At 38.9% G+C, this 24,507-nt stretch overlaps 1 protein-coding gene and 1 pseudogene across 3 annotated transcripts in view, besides 2 other annotated features; one reads left to right on the forward strand and one right to left on the reverse strand.

Annotated features, from left to right (window-relative positions):
- The window catches only part of KICS2 (KICSTOR subunit 2), a 35,981-nt gene that overhangs the window by 11,180 nt on the left and 294 nt on the right, over positions 1 to 24,507 (reverse strand). For all 3 annotated transcript variants that reach the window (NM_001300940.2, NM_001300941.2, NM_152440.5), the window contains exon 2: positions 18,183 to 18,468. In NM_001300940.2, coding sequence (NP_001287869.2) covers positions 18,183 to 18,468 — 286 coding nt within the window. The remainder of the gene's footprint in view (positions 1 to 18,182; positions 18,469 to 24,507) is intronic.
- RNU6-1009P (RNA, U6 small nuclear 1009, pseudogene) lies at positions 7,298 to 7,404 on the forward strand (annotated as a pseudogene).
- Positions 17,708 to 17,905: a silencer, noted in NCBI's record as "fragment chr12:64608983-64609180 (GRCh37/hg19 assembly coordinates)". NCBI's record gives its function as "represses an EF-1alpha promoter that drives an FKBP-Casp9 reporter gene in an ReSE screen in phorbol 12-myristate 13-acetate-treated (for megakaryocytic differentiation) K562 erythroleukemia cells {active_cell/tissue: K562(+PMA)}" and the evidence as "EXISTENCE:reporter gene assay evidence [ECO:0000049][PMID:32094911]".
- Positions 24,325 to 24,444: an enhancer, noted in NCBI's record as "active region_6587". NCBI's record gives its function as "activates an Ori minimal core promoter by ATAC-STARR-seq in GM12878 lymphoblastoid cells {active_cell/tissue: GM12878}" and the evidence as "EXISTENCE:reporter gene assay evidence [ECO:0000049][PMID:35858748]".

Raw genomic sequence — 24,507 nt, forward strand, 5'->3', positions numbered from 1 at the left:
ATGCCAAAATGTAAAGACCATCGAGACTAGGAAGAAACTGCATCAACTAACGAGCAATATCACCAGCTAACATCATAATGACAGGATCAAATGCACACATAACAATATTAACTTTAAATGTAAATGGACTAAATGCTCCAATGAAAAGACACAGACTGGCAAATTGGATAAAGAGTCAAGACCCATCAGTGTGCTGTATTCAGGAAACCCATCTCATGTGCAGAGACACACATAGGCTCAAAATAAAAGGATGGAGGAAGATCTACCAAGCAAATGGAAAACAAAAAAAGGCAGAGGTTGCAATCCTAGTCTCTGATAAAACAGACTTTAAACCAACAAAGATCAAAAGAGACAAAGAAGGCCATTACATAATGGTAAAGGGATCAATTCAACAAGAAGAGCTAACTATCCTAAATATATATGCACCCAATACAGGAGCACCCAGATTCATAAAGCAAGTCCTGAGTGACCTACGAAGAGACTTAGACTCCCACGCATTAATAATGGGAGACTTTAACACCCCACTGTCAACATTAGACAGATCAACGAGACAGAAAGTCAACAAGGATACCCAGGAATTGAACTCAGCTCTGCACCAAGCAGACCTAATAGACATCTACAGAACTCTCCAACCCAAATCAACAGAATATACATTTTTTTCAGCACCACACCACACCTATTCCAAAATTGACCACATAGTTGGAAGTAAAGCTCTCCTCAGCAAATGTAAAAGAACAGAAATTATAACAAACTATCTCTCAGACCACAGTGCAATCAAACTAGAACTCAGGATTAAGAATCTCACTCAAAGCCGCTCAACTACATGGAAACTGAACAACCTGCTCCTGAATGACTACTGGGTACATAACGAAATGAAGGCAGAAATAAAGATGTTCTTTGAAACCAACGAGAACAAAGACACAACATACCAGAATCTCTGGGACGCATTCAAAGCAGTGTGTAGAGGGAAATTTATAGCACTAAATGCCCACAAGAGAAAGCAGGAAAGATCCAAAATTGACACCCTAACATCACAATTAAAAGAACTAGAAAAGCAAGAGCAAACACATTCAAAAGCTAGCAGAAGGCAAGAAATAACTAAAATCAGAGCAGAACTGAAGGAAATAGAGACACAAAAAACCCTTCAAAAAATCAATGAATCCAGGAGCTGGTTTTTTGAAAGGATCAACAAAATTGATAGACCACTAGCAAGACTAATAAAGAAAAAAAGAGAGAAGAATCAAATAGACACAATAAAAAATGATAAAGGGGATATCACCACTGATCCCACAGAAATACAAACTACCATCAGAGAATACTACAAACACCTCTACGCAAATAAACTAGAAAATCTAGACGAAATGGATAAATTCCTCCACACATACACTCTCCCAAGACTAAACCAGGAAGAAGTTGAATCTCTTAATAGACCAATAACAGGAGCTGAAATTGTGGCAATAATCGATAGTTTACCAACCAAAAAGAGTCCAGGACCAGATGGATTCACAGCTGAATTCTACCAGAGGTACAAGGAGGAACTGGTACCATTCCTTCTGAAACTATTCCAATCAATAGAAAAAGAGGGAATCCTCCCTAACTCATTTTATGAGGCCAGCATCATTCTCATACCAAAGCTGGGCAGAGACACAACCAAAAAAGAGAATTTTAGACCAATATCCTTGATGAACATTGATGCAAAAATCCTCAATAAAATACTGGCAAACCGAATCCAGCAGCACATCAAAAAGCTTATCCACCATGATCAAGTGGGCTTCATCCCTGGGATGCAAGGCTGGTTCAATATACGCAAATCAATAAATGTAATCCAGCATATAAACAGAGGCAAAGACAAAAACCACATGATTATCTCAATAGATGCAGAAAAAGCCTTTGACAAAATTCAACAACCCTTCATGCTAAAAACTCTCAATAAATTAGGTATTGATGGGACGTATTTCAAAATAATAAGAGCTATCTATGACAAACCCACAGCCAATATCATACTGAATGGGCAAAAACTGGAAGCATTCCCTTTGAAAACTGGCACAAGACAGGGATGCCCTCTCTCACCACTCCTATTCAACATAGTGTTGGAAGTTCTGGCCAGGGAAATTAGGCAAGAGAAGGAAATAAAGGGTATCCAATTAGGAAAAGAGGAAGTCAAATTGTCCCTGTTTGCAGATGACATGATTCTATATCTAGAAAACCCCATTGTCTCAGCCCAAAATCTCCTTAAGCTGATAAGCAACTTCAGCAAAGTCTCAGGATACAAAATCAATGTACAAAAATCACAAGCATTCTTATACACCAACAACAGACAAACAGAGAGCCAAATCATGAGTCAACTCCCATTCACAATTGCTTCAAAGAGAATAAAATACCTAGGAATCCAACTTACAAGGGATGTGAAGGACCTCTTCAAGGAGAACTACAAACCACTGCTCAAGGAAATAAAAGAGGATACAAACAAATGGAAGAACATTCCATGCTCATGGGTAGGAAGAATCAATATCATGAAAATGGCCATACTGCCCAAGGTAATTTACAGATTCAATGCCATCCCCATCAAGCTACCAATGACTTTCTTCACAGAATTGGAAAAAACTACTTTCAAGTTCATATGGAACCAAAAAAGAGCCCGCATCACCAAGTCAATCCTAAGCCAAAAGAACAAAGCTGGAGGCATCACGCTACCTGACTTCAAACTATACTACAAGGCTACAGTAACCAAAACAGCATGGTACTGGTACCAAAACAGAGATATAGATCAATGGAACAGAACAGAGCCCTCAGAAATAATGCCGCATACCTACAACTATCTGATCTTTGACAAACCTGAGAAAAACAAGCAATGGGGAAAGGATTCCCTATTTAATAAATGGTGCTGGGAAAACTGGCTAGCCATATGTAGGAAGCTGAAACTGGATCCCTTCCTTACACCTTATACAAAAATCAATTCAAGATGGATTAAAGATTTAAACGTTAGACCTAAAACCATAAAAACCCTAGAAGAAAACCTAGGCATGACCATTCAGGACATAGGCATGGGCAAGGACTTCATGTCCAAAACACCAAAAGCAATGGCAACAAAAGCCAAAATTGACAAATGGGATCTAATTAAACTAAAGAGCTTCTGCACAGCAAAAGAAACTACCATCAGAGTGAACAGGCAACCTACAAAATGGGAGAAAATTTTCACAACCTACTCATCTGACAAAGGGCTAATATCCAGAATCTACAATGAACTCAAACAAATTTACAAGAAAAAAACAAACAACCCCATCAAAAAGTTGGCGAAGGACATGAACAGACACTTCTCAAAAGAAGACATTTATGCAGCCAAGAAACACATGAAAAAATGCTCATCATCACTGGCCATCAGAGAAATGCAAATCAAAACCACAATGAGATACCATCTCACACCAGTTAGAATGGCAATCATTAAAAAGTCAGGAAACAACAGGTGCTGGAGAGGATGTGGAGAAATAGGAACACTTTTACACTGTTGGTGGGACTGTAAACTAGTTCATCCATTGTGGAAGTCAGTGTGGCGATTCCTCAGGGATCTAGAACTAGAAATACCATTTGACCCAGCCATCCCATTACTGGGTATATACCCAAATGACTATAAATCATGCTGCTATAAAGACATATGCACACGTATGTTTATTGCGGCATTATTCACAATAGCAAAGACTTGGAACCAACCCGAATGTCCAACAATGATAGACTGGATTAAGAAAATGTGGCACATATACACCATGGAATACTATGCAGCCATAAAAAATGATGAGTTCATGTCCTTTGTAGGGACATGGATGAAATTGGAAATCATCATTCTCAGTAAACTATCGCAAGAACAAAAAACCAAACACCGCATATTCTCACTCATAGGTGGGAATTGAACAATGAGATCACATGGACACAGGAAGGGGAATATCACACTCTGGGGACTGTTGTGGGGTGGGGGGAGGGGGGAGGGATAGCATTGGGAGATATACCTAATGCTAGATGACAAGTTAGTGGGTGCAGCGCACCAGCATGGCACATGTATACATATGTAACTAACCTGCACAATGTGCACATGTACCCTAAAACTTAAAGTATAATAAAAAAAAAAAAAGAAAAAAAAAAAAAACAAAATGGTGGCCAGCCTGGCCAACATGGTGAAATCCCAACCTTACTAAAAATACAAAAATTAGCCGGGCATGGTGACATGTGCCTGTAATCCCAGCTACTCTGGAGGCTGAGGCACGAGAATTGCTTGAACCTGGGGTGGGGGGGCAAGGTTGCAGCGAGCTGAGATCGTGCCACTAAACTCCAGCCTGGGTGACAGAACAAGACTGTCTCAAACAAACAAACAAACAAACAAATGGTGACCCAATAAGAAATAGCTAACACTTCAATCACTTTCCATTTATCTTAGGATAAAACCCCAAATCCGTAAAAAGGACTAGAAGGCACTGAATAATGTAGTCCCTTCCCAGTTTGAGCCACATTCCTATTCTTCTCACTTTCTCCAGATACTCAGTAAATAACTGAAAATGCAATTATACTACAAGGAGTACAAGACAGTAGTGCAATTTTACTTCCACTTGTTCTAGACAAAATGTATAAAAGTTTTTGACGCTGGGCACAGTGGCTTATTCCTGTAAACCCAGCACTTTGGGAGGCAGAGGCAGGTGGACTGCTTGAGCCCAGGAGTTCATGAGACAGCCTGGGCAACATGGAAAAACTCCATCTCTACAAAACATTCAAAAATTAGTCAAGTGTGGTGGTGTGCACCTGTGGCCCCAGCTACTCAAATTAGAAGGCTGAGGTGGGAAGATCACCTGAGCCCAGCAAGGCTGAGGCTAGTGGGCTGTGATCGCACTACTGTGCTTCACAGAGTGAGACCCTGTCTCCAAAAAAAAAAAGTTTTTGACTATGATCTACTGTAAAAAATACACTTTATATTGTGACCAAGTACCTGCACACATAAATATTTTATTTCAATACTTTCTTACTATGTACAATGTACTCTGCTAAATTTCTGCTTGAGTCATAATGTTCTAGAGACAAAGGAGTGAATAGAGGAGGCAGCTATTACTTCCGCTATTGATAGTTTCTAATATATATAGATATTTTCTAATATATATTAAATATATATTTATTTTCTACTTGATATTTTCTAATATATATTAAATATATATTTATTTTCTACTATACATATTAAATCAGATTACTAACTCACTAAGTTAACTTTATATCCCATAGATTAGTACCTGCTGTTTGTAAAACACTGTTCTACTTCACATGTAATAGTAATGTTTAAAGGGAAAAGAACATGATGTGGGACATCCTCTCTTCTAGGCACAGGGAAAAAAGGGCAAGTTCAGGGACCCTAGATAAGTGAGCACATGACCCATTTTCACCAATACTGTACTTCTTCCTGATTCTTCAGGTCTCCTCGTCAGTCATTTCCCTAGAAAAGCTTTCTCTGTCCACTTCCAGATGAGGTCACTTTCCCCAGTTATATCCTCTCATTTCTTAATACCTCTCTCCCACTTTAGTAGTTTGACCATACAATTTCTCAGGAAAACAGACATACAGCCACCCTAGTTTTAAGCTCCTCCCCAAGCGGAAGTAATAGCTGCCTCCTCTATTCGCTCCTTTGTCTCTAGAACTTTATGACTCAAGCAGAAATTTAGTCAATGTGGTGACCAACTATGTAAAGATATGAATCCAAGTCTCTGCCTCATTGATTCTGCCTGCTGGTTATGGGCTGAACGAAGTTCTGTAACAGTAGACTAGAATGGCAGGGAGAGTCCTTCCTGTACAGACCACACAGAGCTTTCTTGCTCAGTTTCTCTTCTGAGAAGCGCCTAGTGGCTGCCAGGCCTGATACATGCTCCTTCTCCAGAAGCCTACATCAAGCGCTTACACTCTTCCTAAAGATCCACAGCACCTGCAGAGGCTGCGGAAATCACCTCAGCAAGTGATCCCACTGTAAAGGCAGGGGAAGTACTTGTATTTATGGAGCATATTATATGTTCCAGGCACTATGGTAGATGATCTACAGGCCTGAGTGCATTTGATCACTTCATTGTTAATGAAACGGACGCTTCTCACACAGCCCTGTTTTGGCTGCTGGTGAAAAAGAAAATGCTGGTTATCAACTAAACAATTAGAAAAAAAAAATCACAAGTGTATCTAGAATTTTTAAAAAAAATCTATTTAAGTACTAATTAAAAGGATTATGGTTAAGAGAGTCCACACTAGGTTGGACATTATAAGAGAGAAACCGATTATCATGTGAAATGTCGTTATTCATGTGAAAAACACACATTGCTTTTCATCTATTATCTGCATTTTACATCAACATCCTTCCAGCTGAGGAAGCTAAAACACTGGTGAGATTAAGTCTAATAATATACACAATCCATGGAATACTATGCAGCCATAAAAAGGAACAAGATCATGTCCTTTGCAGGGACACGGATGAAGCTGTAAGCCATTATTCTCAGCAAACTAACATTAGTAGGAACAGAAAACTAAACACTGCATGTTCTCGCTTTGCAGGGACATGGACGAAGCTGTAAGCCATTATCCTCAGCAAACTAACGTAGGAACAGAAAACTAAACACTGCATGTTCTCACTTATAAGCAGGAGCTGAACAATGAGAACACGTGGACACAGGGACGGGAACAACACACACTAGTGCCTGTTGGGGCCTGTTGGAGGTGCCAGGGAGAGCATTAGGGAAAAGAGTTAATGCATGCTGGGCTTAATACCTCAGTGATGGGTTAACAGGTGCAGCAAACCACCACGGCACATGTTTACCTATGTAACAAACCTGCACATTCTGCACATGTACCCCAGAACTCAAAAAAATTAAAGTAAAAAAATATATAAATACACAAAAAATCAGAAAGATAAACCAGATCTCAAATCTTCCAGCTTACATGTTTAATTAATTTGGACTTTTCAAACATTATATATTTTAGAATGAACACTAAGAAAGTTCAGGCTGGGAGCAGTTGCTCGTACCTGTAATCTTAGCACTTTGGGAGGCCAAAGCAGGAGGATCATTAGGAGCCCAGGAGTTCGAAACCGGCCTGGGCAACACAGTGAGACCCCTGTCTCTACAAAAACTTAAAGTATAAAAAAATTAGCCAGGCCTCGTGGAGTGCGCCTGTAGGCCTACATACGTGGGAGGATTGCTTGACCCTGGGAGGTTGAGGCTGCAGTGAGCCATGATCACACCACTGCGCTCCAGCATGGACAGCAGAGTGAGACCCTGTGTTAAAAAAAAAAAGGCTCACTTCAGCAGCATATATACTTAAATTGGAATGATACAGAGAAGATTAGCATGTCCCCTATACAAGGATAACACTTTTTAAAAAAATCTACTTAAATACTGTATATTTTTAAAAATGTTTTAAATGCACACATGCAAAACCCTGTTATAGAATAAGTCTCAAAATCTTTGAATTGTAAGAAAGCCTCCTACCACCTTAGCTTTTAGGCCCCTTGACACTTATAAGCATTAAATATCACAATCTTCTATAATCATGGCTATTAGGAAAATTTGCCCAGGAACTAGCAACATAGTAAGACTGTTAATCACAGGATTAATGACATGAAATTAGAGAAAATTCTAGTACAAATAACACTATTGTTATCTTTCTACTGCTTTCAGCTGAAAATCATCATTCAAATCCAATGCTCTCCTTAAGAGGACATAAATTCCCTGTCCAAACCTTCAGAAAGAACTCCGAACAAGCTCTTCCATAACATACACTGAAAGTGCTTAAGTGCTCAACACTTATTAAAGATAAATGTGAATGTTGAAGCTATTTTTCAACCTCAAGAAGAGCTAAAAATTCATGTTAATGTTAGTCTGCCAAGACTTAGAGCTTAGCATTATGATGTATCATTTCCCTATTTCCACTCTGCCATGTGCCTCATAGCTATTCACAACTCGTATCATAGGAGGCTCTGTTAAATGGTTGTAATCCAAAAATATCCACCTAAGCTACAGCAGCAAGCTTGAAAGAGTCTGAATAGTCTTAATACAGAATAAATTAACAACTATTTGCAGAGAACATCTGCTCTAAGGAAAGGAGGGAAAAAGGGAAGGAAGGAAGGAAAAAGGGAGGGAAGGAATGAAGGAAGGGAGGGAGGGAGGGAAAAGGGAAGGAAGGAAGGAAGAAGGAAGGAAAAAGGGAAGGAAGGAAGGGAGGGAGGGAGGAAAAAGGGAAGGAAGGGAGGGAGGGAAAAGGGAAGGAAGGAAAAAGGGAAGGAAGGAAGGAAGGAAGGCAGGTTCGCTCCATAGAATAGAGGAAAATATAAAATGAATAGATTTGTGTAATATTCTAATGCAACACAAAACTCCACTTTAGAAACACTGCCTTTCTCCTTTGCAAATTTGCACCACGGAGTTCTTTCCAAAAGGTATATGTCCTTATTTGTTTATTTATTTATCTATTTATAGGCAGGGTCTCTGAACAGCTCAATGCAGCCTGAACCTTCCAGGTTCAAGGCATCCTTCCACCTCAGCCCACTTAGCAGCTGGGACTACGGGCACACACCACAACACCCAGCTAATTTTTAAATTTTTTTGTAGAGACAGGGTCTTGCTATGTTTCCCAGGGTGGTCTTGAATGCCTAGCCTCAAGCAATCCTCTTGCTTTAGCCTCCCAAAGTTCTGGAATTACAGGTGTGAGCCACCATGCCGGGCCAAAATGATAAATTTTTTTTTTCACATGTGCAGAACATGCAGCTTTGGTACATAGGCATATGTGTACCACAGTGGTTTGCTGCACCCAAAGTGATAAATTTTATGTTATGTATATTTTACCATGACAAAACAAAATCTGTAACATCTTTTCATTTAAAACAACTTGTTTACTAATGCTTAAACACCAATACATTGAAGATATAAAAAATTACCCAGAGATTTGCCCCACTGGACCTTCCATGGCAGAAGGAGGTATTTATAATGAATACAAAGTAGAAACTAATACATTTATTATGAATAAAATAACATTTCAGAGGAAGGAACAATTCCTTTTGGTCAAAAGATTGTGGAAGCCATAGAGGAGATGGCATTTGAATTGAGCCATGATGCTTAAAATAGCTGAGAGGTGGAAACAACTCCAATGCCCATTGACAAATGAATGGATAAAGAAAATGTGGTACATACATACAAATGGAATATTGTTCAGCCTTAAAAAGAAGGAAATCTTGTCACATGCTACAACATAGGTGAATCTCAAGGACATTATGGTAACTGAAATAAGCCAGTCACAAAAAGACAAATACTGTATGATTCTAGTTATATGTGGTATCCAGAGTAGTCAAACTCATGGAAACAGAAAACAGAACAGTGGTTGCCCAGGGCTGGGAGGGGGGAAAATGTTGCTCAATGAGTACAGGGTTTCAGTGAGGCGAGATGAAAATATTCTAAAGATCTACTACAAAAGACTGTGAATATACTTAACACTACTGAACTGGATACATAAAAAAAGTTAAAATGGTAAATTTGCTGGGGGCGGTGGCTATGCCTGTAATCCCAGCACTTTGGGAGGCTGAGATGGGTGGGACCCTTGAGCTCACGCGTTCAAGACCAGCCTGGGCAACACGGCAAAACCCCATCTCTACAAAAATACAAAAATTAGCTAGGTGTGGTGATATGCACCTGTAGTCCCAGCTACTCGGGAGGCTGAGGCAGGAGAATTGCTTGAGCCCAGGAGGTGGAGGTTGCAGTGAGCTGGGATCAGGCCACTGCATTCTAGCCAAGGTGATAGAGCCAACTCGTCTCAAAAAAAAAAAAAAAAAAAAAAAAGAGATGGCAAATTTGATATTATGTATTTTTTTTTAACAAAATAAAAAAGCAGGGGGAAAGAGTAGGCAGGATTTTACCATATGAAGATGGGGGCTTGATTTTCCAGCCCCAGTCTTCTCCCATTCATGATTCCTCACCCTTTGTTTTGTAACTTTGCAGCTCCTTTCCTACCCATGGAATATGGACTGGGCCAAGTAACTTGCTTCGGCCAAAGAGATGCTAACAGATTGGCTGCAAGCAAAGGCTTAAAATGAGCTTAGCTTGGTCATACTTTTGCACTTTGGACATTGCTACTGGGTAGCTACTTCCCCTCCAACCTTGGGCTCAGAATGAACACATGTGGAGCAGACCTAAGCCCAAAGCTCACAGTAAAAAGTCAACCCCAGTGAGACAGTGTTAAGCAGAGCTACCCGCCTGAACCCTGCTCAGGTCAGCCAATCCTAGTAGGCCTGCAAACACACAAGTGTAAATTTGGAAGTCTGTTATGCAGACTTATTGTGGCAATAGCAAACTGATACATGATAGAACAACAAAAGGACATTCTGAGCACAAAAACAACAGGAGCCTAAGCAGAGAGGTAGGAAATGGCAAATCCTTATGAGGAACATATTGAGTATTAGACTATGGGGCTGTTTTTGGACTTCTGCTTAAAATCCTCAATGATTGGACTTCTGCTTAAAATCCTCAATGATTTCTCTTTGATTCTCTCTCTCTCACTCTGTTGCCTAGGCTGGAGTGCAGTGGTGCGATCTCAGCTCAATGCAGCCTCCACCTCCCGGGCTCAGGTGATACTCCTGCCTCAGCCTCCCAAGTACCTGGGATTACAGGCACACACCACCACAGCTGTCGATTTTTGTATTTTTAGTAGAGATGGAGTTTCGCCATGTTGGCCAGGCTGGTCTCAAACTCCTGACCTCAAGTGATCCGCCCGCCTTGGCCTCCCAAAGTGCTGGGATTACACGCATTAGACACTGCGCCTGGCCCTTTTAAGTTTCTTTCTTTGTACTAAGAATTTAGCTGCAATGTAAAGCATTTGATGGGAGGTAGCAGATGAATTTGAAAAGATAGGCTGGGGCACTATCATGGAAGACCTTGCTTAAGTCTTCACTATTAAAATCTAAGCATGTCAAATGACTAGGAGAGAGTGCATTCCACAGAAATTGCACTACTACTAGTTTTGCTTGTGAAATTTTCACTGAGCAATAATTAACCTTGTTAACTATACACATGCAACTAACAAAATGTCTTATTAACAGCCTTATCATCAAAAATCTTTTTTTGACGAAAAGTGGGCATAAGGGCTAAATAAATTGTAGTTCTGCCTTTCGTGAGAAATTTGTGAATTAAAGCAGTCAGATCAAGAAAGTGTGCTTCCTAAAATGCAAACAAATATATGTACATCAATTTTTTAATGTTATTTAAATTCTAGCTATAAAATTATTATTTAACAATTAAAATCATGGAATGGTTTATTATTGCCATACCGTAGAGATTTTTTTAATGGTCTAGAATGCCTAAGTGATGGCTTTCTTCTTTCTTTAGAAGTATTATTTCTTAATATTATAGTTTTGATTTAGGAGAGTAAATATTAATGTGCATTTACAATCTATCTTGCAAATTTGTTTTAACCATGAAACAGAAAAATCAGCCAGAATTTTCTTTTATACCCACAAACAATAAATAAGTGTGTAAAAAATTCTGCAGAATCAGAAAATGTTCCACTGGTGCTTCTTTGGAAAACAAAAACAAAAACCCAAGTTCTATTGCTCCTCAAAAGTACTCAAGGAATAGCAGATACTGTGACCCTATACAAGCTAAGTTCATGTTTCTTCCGCTAAATGGCACACAATTAAACTTATATAATAATTATATTATTAATATAGTTCAATTTGTTAATAATTCAATTTAAAATGCAGAATCACAAATGACTGTGATTCCTAAACAAGAACTTATATATGCTTAATAATGTTATAAACTGGCCAGGCACAGTGGCTCACACCTATAATCCCAGCACTTTGGGATGCTAAGCGGGGTTGATCACCTGAGGTCAGGGGTTCAAGACCAGCCTGGCCAACATGGTAAAACCTGATCTCTACTAAAACTACAAAAATTAGCTGGGCATGGTGGCAGGCGCCTGTAATTCCAGCTACTTTGGAGGCTGAGTCAGGAGAATCGCTTGAACCCAGGAGGCGGAGGTTGCAGTGAGCCGAGATTGCGCCACTGCACTCCAGCCTGAGCAACAAAAGCAAAAACTCCATCTCAAAAATAAAAAAAGTTATAAATTTACCAAAAAGGAAGCCTTTTTTAACACCATTCTACTGTGAACACAACTGGCTTCCAGAAGAAGAAAACCAAAATATACTTTCCATTCATCTGTGAAAGCAGACTAGACACTGCAATAACTCACACAGGACTTACATGTGAAATCAAGGCCAGAGGTTTAGATTCCATGCTATTCATCACACTCATTAATTTTTTAATACAAAGGTATTTCAGCATTTGAAACATAGTACTAGTCACAAAATTTGTTATAAGAGTTCTGACATGGATCAGCTACACTGGGACATTCCCTGAAAGATAAATGGATCCTTTGGGAGGAGGATTAACTTTTTCAATACAACAGAATACCAAAATATGAATTATTTCTCTAGAACACTGAAACCATAAAGGAGAAATGTTTGGTGTAGCACAGATGCCAGATCAAAAAGTCTACAGAAAAAAGCACATTAACCTAGCAAAGGGCAAAATCATGTTAGTTGATACATAAAGGAATCCCACTGCCCAAAGAAAATCATTATACAGAAGTTCAACTTTTCAGAATTCCTTAAAGAATTTATGTTGTTGAAATTAACCCAAAGCCTCTAATTTAGATCATTTTCAGGCTAGGATGTGTCTGTGATCAGTCATTCCCTATTAATTAGAGAAAGGCAGCATGGGTGGAAGATGGAAATTGTAGATGAAAAAAGACATCTCTTGTCCATACTGTAATCCAGTTCCATCCAACTCCATCAATATCCACTCAGAGGATGAGGGTTTCAACTAAGAACTGCCCTAAGAACTTTGAAAATTAAATCCGCAGGGAAAGGGAGAAACTCCTAAGGCTCTGGGAAGTGGGGTGTTTCAAAGAAGGTTTAAAGATGATAGGGCCTGGGTGTGTGGCTTACACCTGTAATCCCAGCACTTTGGGCACCTGTAATCCCAGCACTTTGGAAGGCCAAGGCAGGAGGATGGCTTGGACGCAGGAGTTCAAGACAAGCCTGGGCAATATAGTGAGACCCTGTCTCTGCAAAAAAATAAAATAATTATCCAGGGATGGTGGCATGCTCCCGTAGTCCTAGCCACTTGGCAGACTGAGGTGGAAGGATCACTTCAGCCCAGGCAGTTGAAGCTGCAGTGAGCCGAGAGAGCGCCACTGAACTCTAGCCTGGGTGACAGAACAAGACCTCATCTCGAAATAAATAAAGATGATAGGGCACAAATCTAATAAAATGAAAACAATTAATACTAATCAGTCCCAGGAGACACACACACACACACGTGTATGCACACACACATCAGTAAGGTTCAGTACCTATTCTATCCTGGAGCTGACATCTTTCTCTTAGTTACCCAATTTTTTTGAGTGCAGACCACGTATCATTATCACAGGGAATTTTGAAAACAGAGGTTTCTGGGCACACTAAATTTTACCCTCTTAGGGAAGAGGAGGAAGGGCTCAGGGATGGGTATTTTTCTTAAGCTTCCCGAAGAGTTCAGCAAACCACTTTTACATTAGTGTTTGGGAATTACTACATGAGATCTCTTCCCCTTAGGAATCATATCCTTAACTGTACTTCAGTTTTGGGGTTTCAAAAAACTATGTTATTAAAAGAAAACATATTAATCAGATTGGAGGAAGAAATAAAAGAATACTTCCAAAAATATAAAATTTTTAAATGTTTAAAAAAGTAAGCATATATTTATATGCATAGCCTATTTCTCAGGAATGACAGCAAGAACTTGCTAACTTTAGGCCGGGCGCAGTGGCTCACACCAATCCTAGCACTTTGGAAGGCTGAGGTGGGGGGATCATTTGAGGTCAGGAGTTCAAGACCAGCCTGACCAACATGGTGAAACCCCATTTCTACTAAAGATACAAAAAAAATTAGCCAGGCGTGGTGGCGCATGCCTGTAATTTCAGCTAATTGGGAGGCTGAGGCAGGAGAATCACTTGAACCCCAGAGGCGGAAGTTGCGGTGAGCCAAGATCACGCCACTGCACTCCAGCCTGGGCAACACGGCAAGACTCCGTCTTAAAGAAAAAAAAAACCTGCTAACTTTAGTTGCCTCTTAAAGACGGGAACTAAGTGGCTAAGAGGAAGGAAGAAGACTTTCCACTGTGTTACACTTTATAAATGTTGACCCATGTGAACATATTATATATCAAACAATTTAAAAAAAAGAAAATTTAGAATATGTCACAAAAATCAAAGAGCTATGACAATAAAAAATAACAAGCAACTATAAAGAACATTTTGGAGACAACTGGGGAAATCTGAACATGGACTATGTATTATACAACGGCAGAAAATCAGTGTTAGATTTCCTGAATGTAAAAACTGTTTTTTTCATTCAAAACTGTGTTATGATTATGTATGGTTCTTAGAAGACAAAATCTGAGTATGTAGGAGGAAAGTGTCATGATGATTGCATTTTACTTCCAAATAACTCAGGGAAGTACAATCATATACAGAGAGAGATAAGGCAAATGTGGCAAAATGTTAACAATTTGTGAATAAAGGTGAAGGACAGTTATATGTTCATTGTACAGTCATTTTTTTTTAGTAACAGCTTTACTGTTAATTATTTCATGTACCAACCTTTTAAAGTGTACAATTCAATGGTTTTAATATATTTGCAGAATTGCGCAACCATCACCACGATCAATTTTAGAAAAGTCTCACGGTCCCCAAAAAAGCAATCCTGTGCCCATTAGCAATCACTCCTCCTTCCCCTCCAACTCCTGGCAACCATTTTCTGTGACTATGAATTTGTAATCTACTTGCTGTGTCTATGACTTTGCCTGTTCTGGGTATTTCGCATAATGGAAATTATGTAATTTCCATGTGGTCTTTTATGACTAGCTTCTTTCACTTAGCATAATGTTCTCAAGGTTCATCCATGTTGTTGCATGTGCCAGCACTTCATTCCTTTTTATTGCTGAATAATATTCCATCATATGGATATACCACATTTATTTATCCATTCATCCATTGGTCAATGGACATTTGGGTTGCTTCTGCCCTTTGGCTATCATAAGTAATGCTGCTATGAACATTCATGTCAATGGTTTTACGTGTGGACATATGTTTTCATTTTTCTTGGATATATACCTAGGAGTAGAATTGCTGATCATATGGTAACTATGTTCATTATACTATATTTGCAATTTTTTATAGCATTAAAAATTTCAAAATAAAAAATTAGAGGAAAAAGAAAGAATAGGCTGGACACAGTAGCTCACTCCTGTAATCCCAGCACTTTGGGAGGCTGAGGTGGGTGGATTGCTTCAGCTCAGGAGTTTGAGACCAGCCTGGGCAACATGGAGAAACCCTGTCTCTACCAAAAATGCAAAAAATTAGCCAGGCATAGTGGTGCACACCTGTGGTCACAGCTGCTTGGTGGGCTGGGGTGGGAAGGTCGCTGAGCCCTGGAGGTAGAGGTTGCAGTTTGCTGAGATCATGTCACTGCACTCCCGCCTGGGCAACAGAGCGAGACAAACTCAAAAAAAAAAAAAAAAAAGAAAAGAAAAAGAAAGAAAGAATAGTAACATAATAATTTTTACCCAACCATCTTATGCTCAGAAAGACTATGTATGTATGTGGTTGTAGGTAGCACACAACTCGTATTCCTAGCAAGAGGATGTAGTAAATGCTTCCTAGGTCTTCTGAAGAACTAATTTATTGACTTACAAAATGATCAGCAAAGAGAAATTATTTATCTGGACTAGATAAAAAACATCTCAATTTTTAATAACAAGCAATGATGCATACACAAAAGAATATGGGCTCTGAAGTCACAGAGCTAAGCTGTATGACTCTAAGCAAAGTGTTCCACTTCTCTGGGACTCTATAAAAGGTGCACTATTTATACCTGTACTTCAAACCAGGTAACCAAGAAGAGGGTCTTGCATAGTGTCTGGCACACAGTAGTTGCTCAATACATGCTAATTTCCTTCAGAATAGGTATATATAAATATTTCCACCTCCCCCCCTTTTCCTACAAGGTGAAAAATCAATTGCTGTTTTATTAAAGAACAATGACATTTTAGTTTTTAAACCATAAAACTGTATGAGTCTACTTCCAAGTTGTTTTATTTCTGGCCTTTCGTCTGAACTCTAGACCCCCATTTCCAAATGCCTGCTAAATCTTTACTCGAAAATCTGCTAGCAACTCACACTCAACTTGCCCCAATTTTAGCTTACTACCTTCCTTCTAAACCAGTTCCTCTTCAGTCCCTCTTGTCTTTTCAATTCTGTAAACAATATTATCATTAGAGGGGCAAAACCTAAGTATCATCTTTGACAGCAACCTCTCATTATTCCTGCCATCCTGTTGACAAGACTTATAGACTTCTTGTCAGCATCTCCTATCCCACTGTCTTGCAACCATGAGGCCCTCCTTCTGCCTATTAGGCTACCATCATAGCCTGCTAAACTAACCTTTTCTCCTGTAACCTCTCCCTTCACCATCCCATTGCACACACAGTGCCACAGTAATTAGTCTAAGATGAGAACATGATACTCCTGGTTCAAAACTTTTCATGGTTCCCCACTGCTTACCAAATTAAGTACAAATTTTCAACCTGGAACACAACTATTCACTCATTTATTCAGCAAACATCTATTCAGCATCTACTATGTGCTAGGTTCTGTTCCAGGTGCTAAAAGCACAGCAGCTGTGATGGAGCTCACATTCTAGTTTTTGAGAAAAGGAAAGAAAAAACACCCTAAACAAACAACAGTAACTTCAGATGGCAATAAATCAGGAGAATAAGATAGTGACTAAAAGCAGAATAGTTTTGGTAGGATAGTGAGAGAAGCCTTCTCTGTTTGAACCAAGACTTAAAGATGAGAAGATAACTACAGTAAGAACTTATAAGAGAGAAAGAATTGCAAGTACCAAAACCCTGAAGCCTTTTTGTATTCTGAAATATCCTCTCATCTCAAAACACCTGCCGTCTTCTTTCCTACAGTTGCTTTCGAAATCCTACCTGCCGTTAAAAGCTCAACTCGGCTGGGCATGGTGGCTCATACCTGTAATCCCAGCACTTTGGGAGGCCAAGACAGGGAGATCACAAGGTCAGGAGTTCGAGACCAGCCTGACCAACATGATGAAACCCCATCTCTACTAAAAATACAAAAAAAATTAGCCAGGCATAGTGGCATGTGCCTGTAATCTCAGCTACGCAGGAGGCTGAGGCAGGAAAATCACTTGAACCCAGGAGATTACAGGCACTTAGTGGATGCCCTCCTCCACTAAGAATACTTAAAATGAAATCTAAACTGTATGGCAGAAACTCTAAAAGCAATTACAAAGGAGTTTCCAACACATGTTAAAGAATGGCTTGTTCAAAGGAACAAGCAGATAAATCACTGATTACTTTAAAAGGGACAATATTTATTTGAATAATAATTTGTTAAAAATTCACATTATTTTCAGCCAGGTGCATTGGCTCAGGCCTGTAATCCCAGCACTTTGGGAGGTGAAGACGGGTGGATCACTTGAGGTCAGGAGTTCAAGACCAGCCCGGCCAATATGGTGAGACCCCGTCTCTACTAAAAAAAAAAAAAATACAAAAATTAGCTGGGTGTGGCGTGTACCTATAATCCCAGCTACTCAGGAGGCTGAGGCAGGAGAATTGCTTGAACCCAGGAGGTGGAGGTTGCAGTGAGCTGAGATCATGCTACTGCACTCCAGCCTGGGCAACAGAAAATACAATAATACGTATTTTCATATTATTTTACTATGTTACAATTTGGTTTCCAGAAAAAAGAAATTCCTATTATTTTATATACAATTCTCTTGTTGTGTGAACTCTTTCCTAAGCAGCAAAATCGGTTATAATACAAGTTTTACGATTACTTCATTCTCGGTCTTTTGCTATTGCTTAGCAGCCGTGTGGTGTTAATAAGACCAATGAAGGTGCCTAATGTATACCTGTTGATTAATGAATATGTATAAAATGTAATCCAGTTATTTATTTCACAGTTATTTCATCACAGATTTTCATAAGAGTGTGGAGAAAAACTCTGAGCTTGTGTGGGATTGATAGGACAGCCACGCTTTCTCCCTCCCTCCTCCCCACACTGACCTGGAGCTGTATTTTTTCATGATGGCATCCAAAAGGCCAACGAGCTCTTCAGCATTGATGAACTTCTGTGTGCTGAGGGTGTACATCTTCTCATAGAAGTCTGCTATCTCCATCCGAGCCTGAACAAAGAAGCAGAGCTGCTCTGACAGGTGGGAAAGGAGTTCTTCCACGTGAGGAGCAGTCCCACCCAGGGCACCACGGCCAGTCACCACCTTCTTCAGCTCATTATGCAATGAAGTATAGATGGTGCGGATGGAATCCTTCCTGCTGAAGAAAGACTGGCCCCCTGGTAGGCAAACAACATAAGCACATGACAAGTAAGAAGGAGAAACCGTAAGTACCAAACACCTACCAACATGCAAAAGCAAAGAATCCAAACCCATTGAGCTCAGTAAGTTTTCATCTACCATATTCTCTGTCTATGATTGAGATATAAATACTTTATGATAATCATAAATACTTTATGATTATCATAAATACTTTATGATAATCATAAATACTTTGATTCATAATTTCCCTAAGGAATAAGCTAAATGAATACCTGATAGAATTCATTACTGTAGCAATGGACCTGTGTACAATTTGCTTACCCATGTACCAATTCTCACCCACCCCAATTCAATGAGGATTCAGATTTACTTCAGAGCATAATTAACCTAGCAAATAACACCAACTGGAACTAAAAAGCCTACCTTTCACATAGATGTATTCAAAGCAAAAGAGCACACAAATTATGAAACACTATTTTTATTCCTGCTGTGTCATGATTTTTTGTTTCTGCTTTAGAGTTGTATTTTCCTTTGAATCTAATCTTTTAGATCATACCAGAAAATTGAATACATACACATATATTCCCTCTATGCAAGAAAACAGACTACTGGGATCCCAGGAGAATAAAGAAAATCTTAGCACTCTTGACAAGGTTGACACTATATGTTATAAATAATAAGCACCACATTGTGAATTATTAAGACCAGGAACCAATTATAAATAACTGCTGCTGTAACCAAGGGATTCCAAAGGAAATCAGCAAAAAATAAAACCAAAAACACCTTTATATAGCCAAAAAGGATCAAATAGCATAGATATCATTTACTCACTTCTGTATGTACACATGAGCAATTATATTTCTAATTATGGAGCCAGCTTCATGGATGTTCCCTTAAGCAATTCTGCACCCACCAAAGGGCCAGAGGCAAGATATTAGGAAAATGAAAAGAAAAAAAGAAACAGGGCAGGTTTAAAACAGTGATTTCTAGGAATATATAAAAAAACTCAAGAGATGGACAAGAGTTTAAATTTTCTCTTCAATGAATTTACTATTCTAAACATATACCTGTAATTAGGAATAAAAATGTATCAAGGCATTTGTAAAATATCCTCTTAATAAATGAACCATTTTACAATATTGATTTTAATTCATTGCTCGGTTTATGTTTCAAGAAATGAATCTTCCTTCCCTTACTACTAGGTAACCAACTTGTCCCAGTTTACCCAGGACTTTCCAGGTTTTAGCACTAGAAGTCTAGCTTCTCAGGAAATCTTTATAAGGTTTTAAAACAAAGTCCCACATCCTAGAAATCCCTCAGGCCTGGGAAAATTTTGAACAGTTGGTTACCCTACTTATTTCTGACACCCCAGACAAACTACTGATACTTTGAAAAGTGTTTTTCCAATATACTGTCTAAACCAGGGGTGTTCAATCTTTTGGCTTCCCTGGGCCACATTAGAAGAAGAAGAATTGTCTTGGGGCACATATAAAATATGCTAACACTAACCATAGCTGATGAGGAAAAAAAAAAAAACGCACAAAAAATCTCATATTGTTTAAGAAAGTTTAGCCAGACATGGTGGCTCATGCCTGTAATACCAGCACTTTGGGAGGCTGAGGCGGGAGGATCACCCGAGGTCAGGAGTTCAACACCAGCCTGGCCAACATGGTGAAACCCCGTCTGTACTAAAAATACAAAACAATTAGCCAGGCATGGTGGTGGGTGCCTATAATCCCAGCTACTCGGGAGGCTGAGGTAGGAGAATCGCTTGAACCAGGGAGGCAGAGGCTGCAGCGAGCCGAAATCGTGCCACTGCACTCCAGCCTGGGCAACAGAGCAAGACTCCATCAAAAGAAAAGAAAAGAAGAAAAGAAAAGAAAAGAAAGAAGGAAGGAAGGAAGAAAAGGAAAGGAAAGAAAAGAAAAGAAAGGAAAGGAAACCAAAGGAAAGAAAAGAAAAGAAGAAAGGAAGGAAGGAAGGAAGAAAGAAAGAGAAAGAAAGAAAGTTAGTTTATGAATTTGTGTTGGGCCGCATTCAAAGCCATCCTGGACTGCATGTGGCCCGCAGGCCACAGGTTGGACAAGCTTGTTCCAAACAGATTGAGTAGCTGGCACATCATTTCTCCAACTAATACAATTAAAGTCCATATGGGTACAGGTGGACCAGATGTGACACCAATATCTCATACGGAACTGTTCCCTACAGGGTTTGCCTTCCTCCCATGCCCATATTCAGTTTAGCTCTGCTGATTTTGTACAGTGAAGGGTACAACATAAATAGACCTCTGTGCCCACATCTAGGATAAAACCTCTCGGCTTAGGAGGGTAATAAGAGTATCATATAAAACCTAAAAGCTGTGGAGGTCTGAAAGACTTGGTTTCAAACCCCAGCTCCCACAATTACAGGCTATGTTGATGTGCAAACTACTGAACCACTTTGAGCTTTAGCTGTCATTTTTAACATAAAACTGGTGATAGAGCTAAAAAAAACAAATGAAATAACATTTGGTGTGTAATGTGCCTGGAACAAAGAATATATTCTATAATACTAATTCCTTTCCCTTCTATTTATAACTGATACATTTTTTAAAACTCCTAATAATAATACATAATTGAGCTTCTGAAACTGTGGTGAATTGGGAGCTTCAAATACTACAAAAAGAATAGCTATCTAGTACTATTAAACGGGGTGGCCTTGGTGAAAATTTTAACTTCACATTGAAAAAGGGATATCATCTGTCTCTAGGACTTATGGGAGAAAAAAAAAAAAGGATACCTAACTTCATCAGATTACCCCTATCTGGGGGAACGGAAACACTACATAAATACAAAGAATACCTTTAAAAGCTTATCGGTAAACGCTAATCACCAGCATGTGAAACCAAGTAAAGTGAAACTACTCTAAGGAAGAGATAGACCATCAACACATTTCTTTCAAACAGTTCTCTTTTCTCAAAGCTCTCAGGAACCCAATCCTATCTGTTCACTATCTTGGTTTGGAATATCCAGCGGGGACTGACCTTTCTTCATGCTGGAAAACAAGGAATCAGAAACATCCAACTTCTTTCTCTTTTCAATATTTTTAATTTAAAAAATATGATTACTTTGAATGATTTTTAGAAGGCTCTAGTTATAAATGCTCATAATTTCTCAAGATTTCAAGTTCATCTCATGTCATGAAATTTTAAGTGTATTGAAGGAACGTGTAAAACATCTTGGGCATTTTATTCTCCAACTTCTTGCTAATAATACTTTTTAAACATCAGTTCTCAAGTTAAGTCATTTTCTACTATGCTAAATTTCAGCAACCCAAGGTTGAGGAAACTCTCCAGTAATGAAACAAAGGGAAGAAAAGTATGACCTTCTAAAATTCTCCACAGGCATTGAGTCAGCATATTTTAATCACTGATCCTTCCCCAAACAGGTATTATTCTCTCTTAAAGGAAAGAGAAGGAACCAAGATAAGGGCCCTACTCGAAGTTTTTCAGTAACAGGGTCAAGACAGGAAAAGAAAGCTCCCTGTCAAGGTCTATCCTTTGTCTAAAGGCCCTGCTTGCTTCTTTAATCAGGATTCACTGCTAAGGCCTCAAATAAATACCATCCATAAGAGAGGTAAAAAAAGACTCCCTTTTTACTTGAAATTTGCTAAGAGAGTAGATCTTAAGTATTCTCACAATATACACATGAAAGAAAGAAGGAAGGAAGGAAGATAACTATGTAAGGTGATGGATATACTAAGTAGCTTGATTGTGGTGATTATTTCACAATTTACATATACATCAAAACATCAAGTTGTACATCTTAAATATATATAGTTTTATTTGTCAATTATATCTCAGTAAGGCTAAAAAAACTTTTCAGAATTGTTTTAAATTTTTTAAACGCACGCATAAACTTTTTGTTTTGCTTTCTAAAGAAAACTATATAAATGTTCTAATGAGCAAAGTAGTTGGAGAACATGGGAATGTTTTAAATGGCAACACGAAAGTTTTCTCCTGAAGTTTTTAAGAAAATAGTAAACCGGGTAATTGTGTAGTCGTATTGTAAGCACACTGATATCATATACACTCCAGTACCCAAAAAAATGTGCAAAGATAAAATTTAAATTCTGGAACTTATGTTTACTGTACGTGTAAATAAGTTATGAAGCATTAAATATACCATTTTCAGAATATTTACTCAGAAATGAGGAGCCCACCTAGGAACGTAACAGTGCCTGGGCATGTTTCACAGCACCAAATGTTGTATAGGTCAGTTTCAAGGCATAGTCCTCATGCTCACCCATGCCAGCTGGGGTTCAAGCAGAACTAATCAATTTACACATTGAGGACCACTTTACAGAACCCAAGTCAGAGACAGTGAAGATCTTATACACACATTCTTACACACAGGGCAGCCAGTTCTGTTTACGTAAAAACCTGGCTCATTCAACTTAAAACTAGAGTAGCAGATTTTTTTAAATGGAGTCAATAAATAGACTTTAGAAAATTCAACTGAACCCACTCAGGTTATACGCAAAATTATATGTACATATATATTTTTCTGGAGAGTAAGTACACAGCTTTCATCAAATTTCCATGGATAAGTTAATAAAAAAAAAAAGCAAAGAATCATGGCACTTGAATCAGTCACCATTCTTTGAGGTGGGGGAGTCTAAAAACAACTGAAACTGCCTAAATATTACCTACCTTCAGTATTACAGCTAGAATCCACCCCATTTTCACATATATAAAAAACATATATCTGTATATATTATACATAAATTATAATTTTCATACACATTTTTAATAAGTTATATGAATGCAAACTCAATCTGAGAGTACAAGGGCAGATATTTTGGTTTCGACTCTATCATCTACCCAACATAACTGCATATATAATTTGCTAATCTATAGAAAGGGGAATAATAACACCATAGCAGCAACTGCAAATTTGTGAGAAATGCCATTGTAAAAAGGGGAGGAAAAAAATAAGGTGAAACTATCTGACCAGTTTTTGCTAATAAATTAGCATACTAAATAAGTATGTATAAATCAACATACTTGCTACAGCAATTACGAACTCAGGAAGCCCTGTCTCTTGAGTGTTTACTGAAAGCTCAATAAGATGTACATGGTCACCTTCAGGCAATATAAGGAAAGTAGGGGGCTGGTTAGGGAACGGGGGGGGGTGGATCAAAATGAAATCTACACCAATTTTACATTTCTATTCTCTGTATTTTATATACGTGTCCTTCATTCACATCAGACCTCACGCTTCTGAAAATTGAAGAGTCTAAAACAGGTCAAAGTACTGACTCTGAAACCCCTAGGATTCAAATATATTTATTTGTCATAATTAAGCAGTAATATTATTTTGTATGCATATTCCATGCCTTTTACATCTATTATTTCCTTCTCATCTACTTATACTTATTGCTTCTACTAGTAAAAATCAGTTGAATCAGCTCTTGAATCTTATTTCAGAGGCAAGATGTACATGAAGTGCTAAGAGTGTTTACCATTTTCCCCTTAAGTCTCTTCTTGCTAGTGTTAGGCATATTTCTTGCCTTTCCTGCCCAATATTCATTTATTACTTTAGTCATTAAATATGTATTGGGGGACTATGAAGACGGGGTAGGACTCTAAATGTGACTCTCGGGCCTTAACCTTAAGAGGCCACACAACAGTGTTCAGTAATAGAACTAGGTTGTTTTGCAAAGTTTTGCTCTTCTGGCTGCAGCGTCACTAATTAAAACAATGAAGACATAGTTTGGTTAACTTCTCATTTATGGCATCAATCCATGCACGAGGCAAAAGGGCAAACCCTTCGGTTTGGGTCACAGCCCTGCAAAGAGCATCTACCCAGTTCGCCAATCTATCAGCAGCGCAGGCCGGTGGGCGGGGCTTGTGGAAGCCCAGGGAAGGAAAGGAACGGTGGGAGGAGATCTGGGAATGCCGAGTCGAGCCTGCGACTAGAAGTGACACAGAGACGGGAAACCCAAGCCACTGCCGACTGGGGAATATACCCCCTTTACTTCCTCCTCAAGGGGCTCGGGGGGCGGGGCGGAGGTAC

This window comes from Homo sapiens, chromosome 12 (assembly GCF_000001405.40).
Source record: "Homo sapiens chromosome 12, GRCh38.p14 Primary Assembly".
Lineage (NCBI taxonomy): Eukaryota > Metazoa > Chordata > Mammalia > Primates > Hominidae > Homo > Homo sapiens.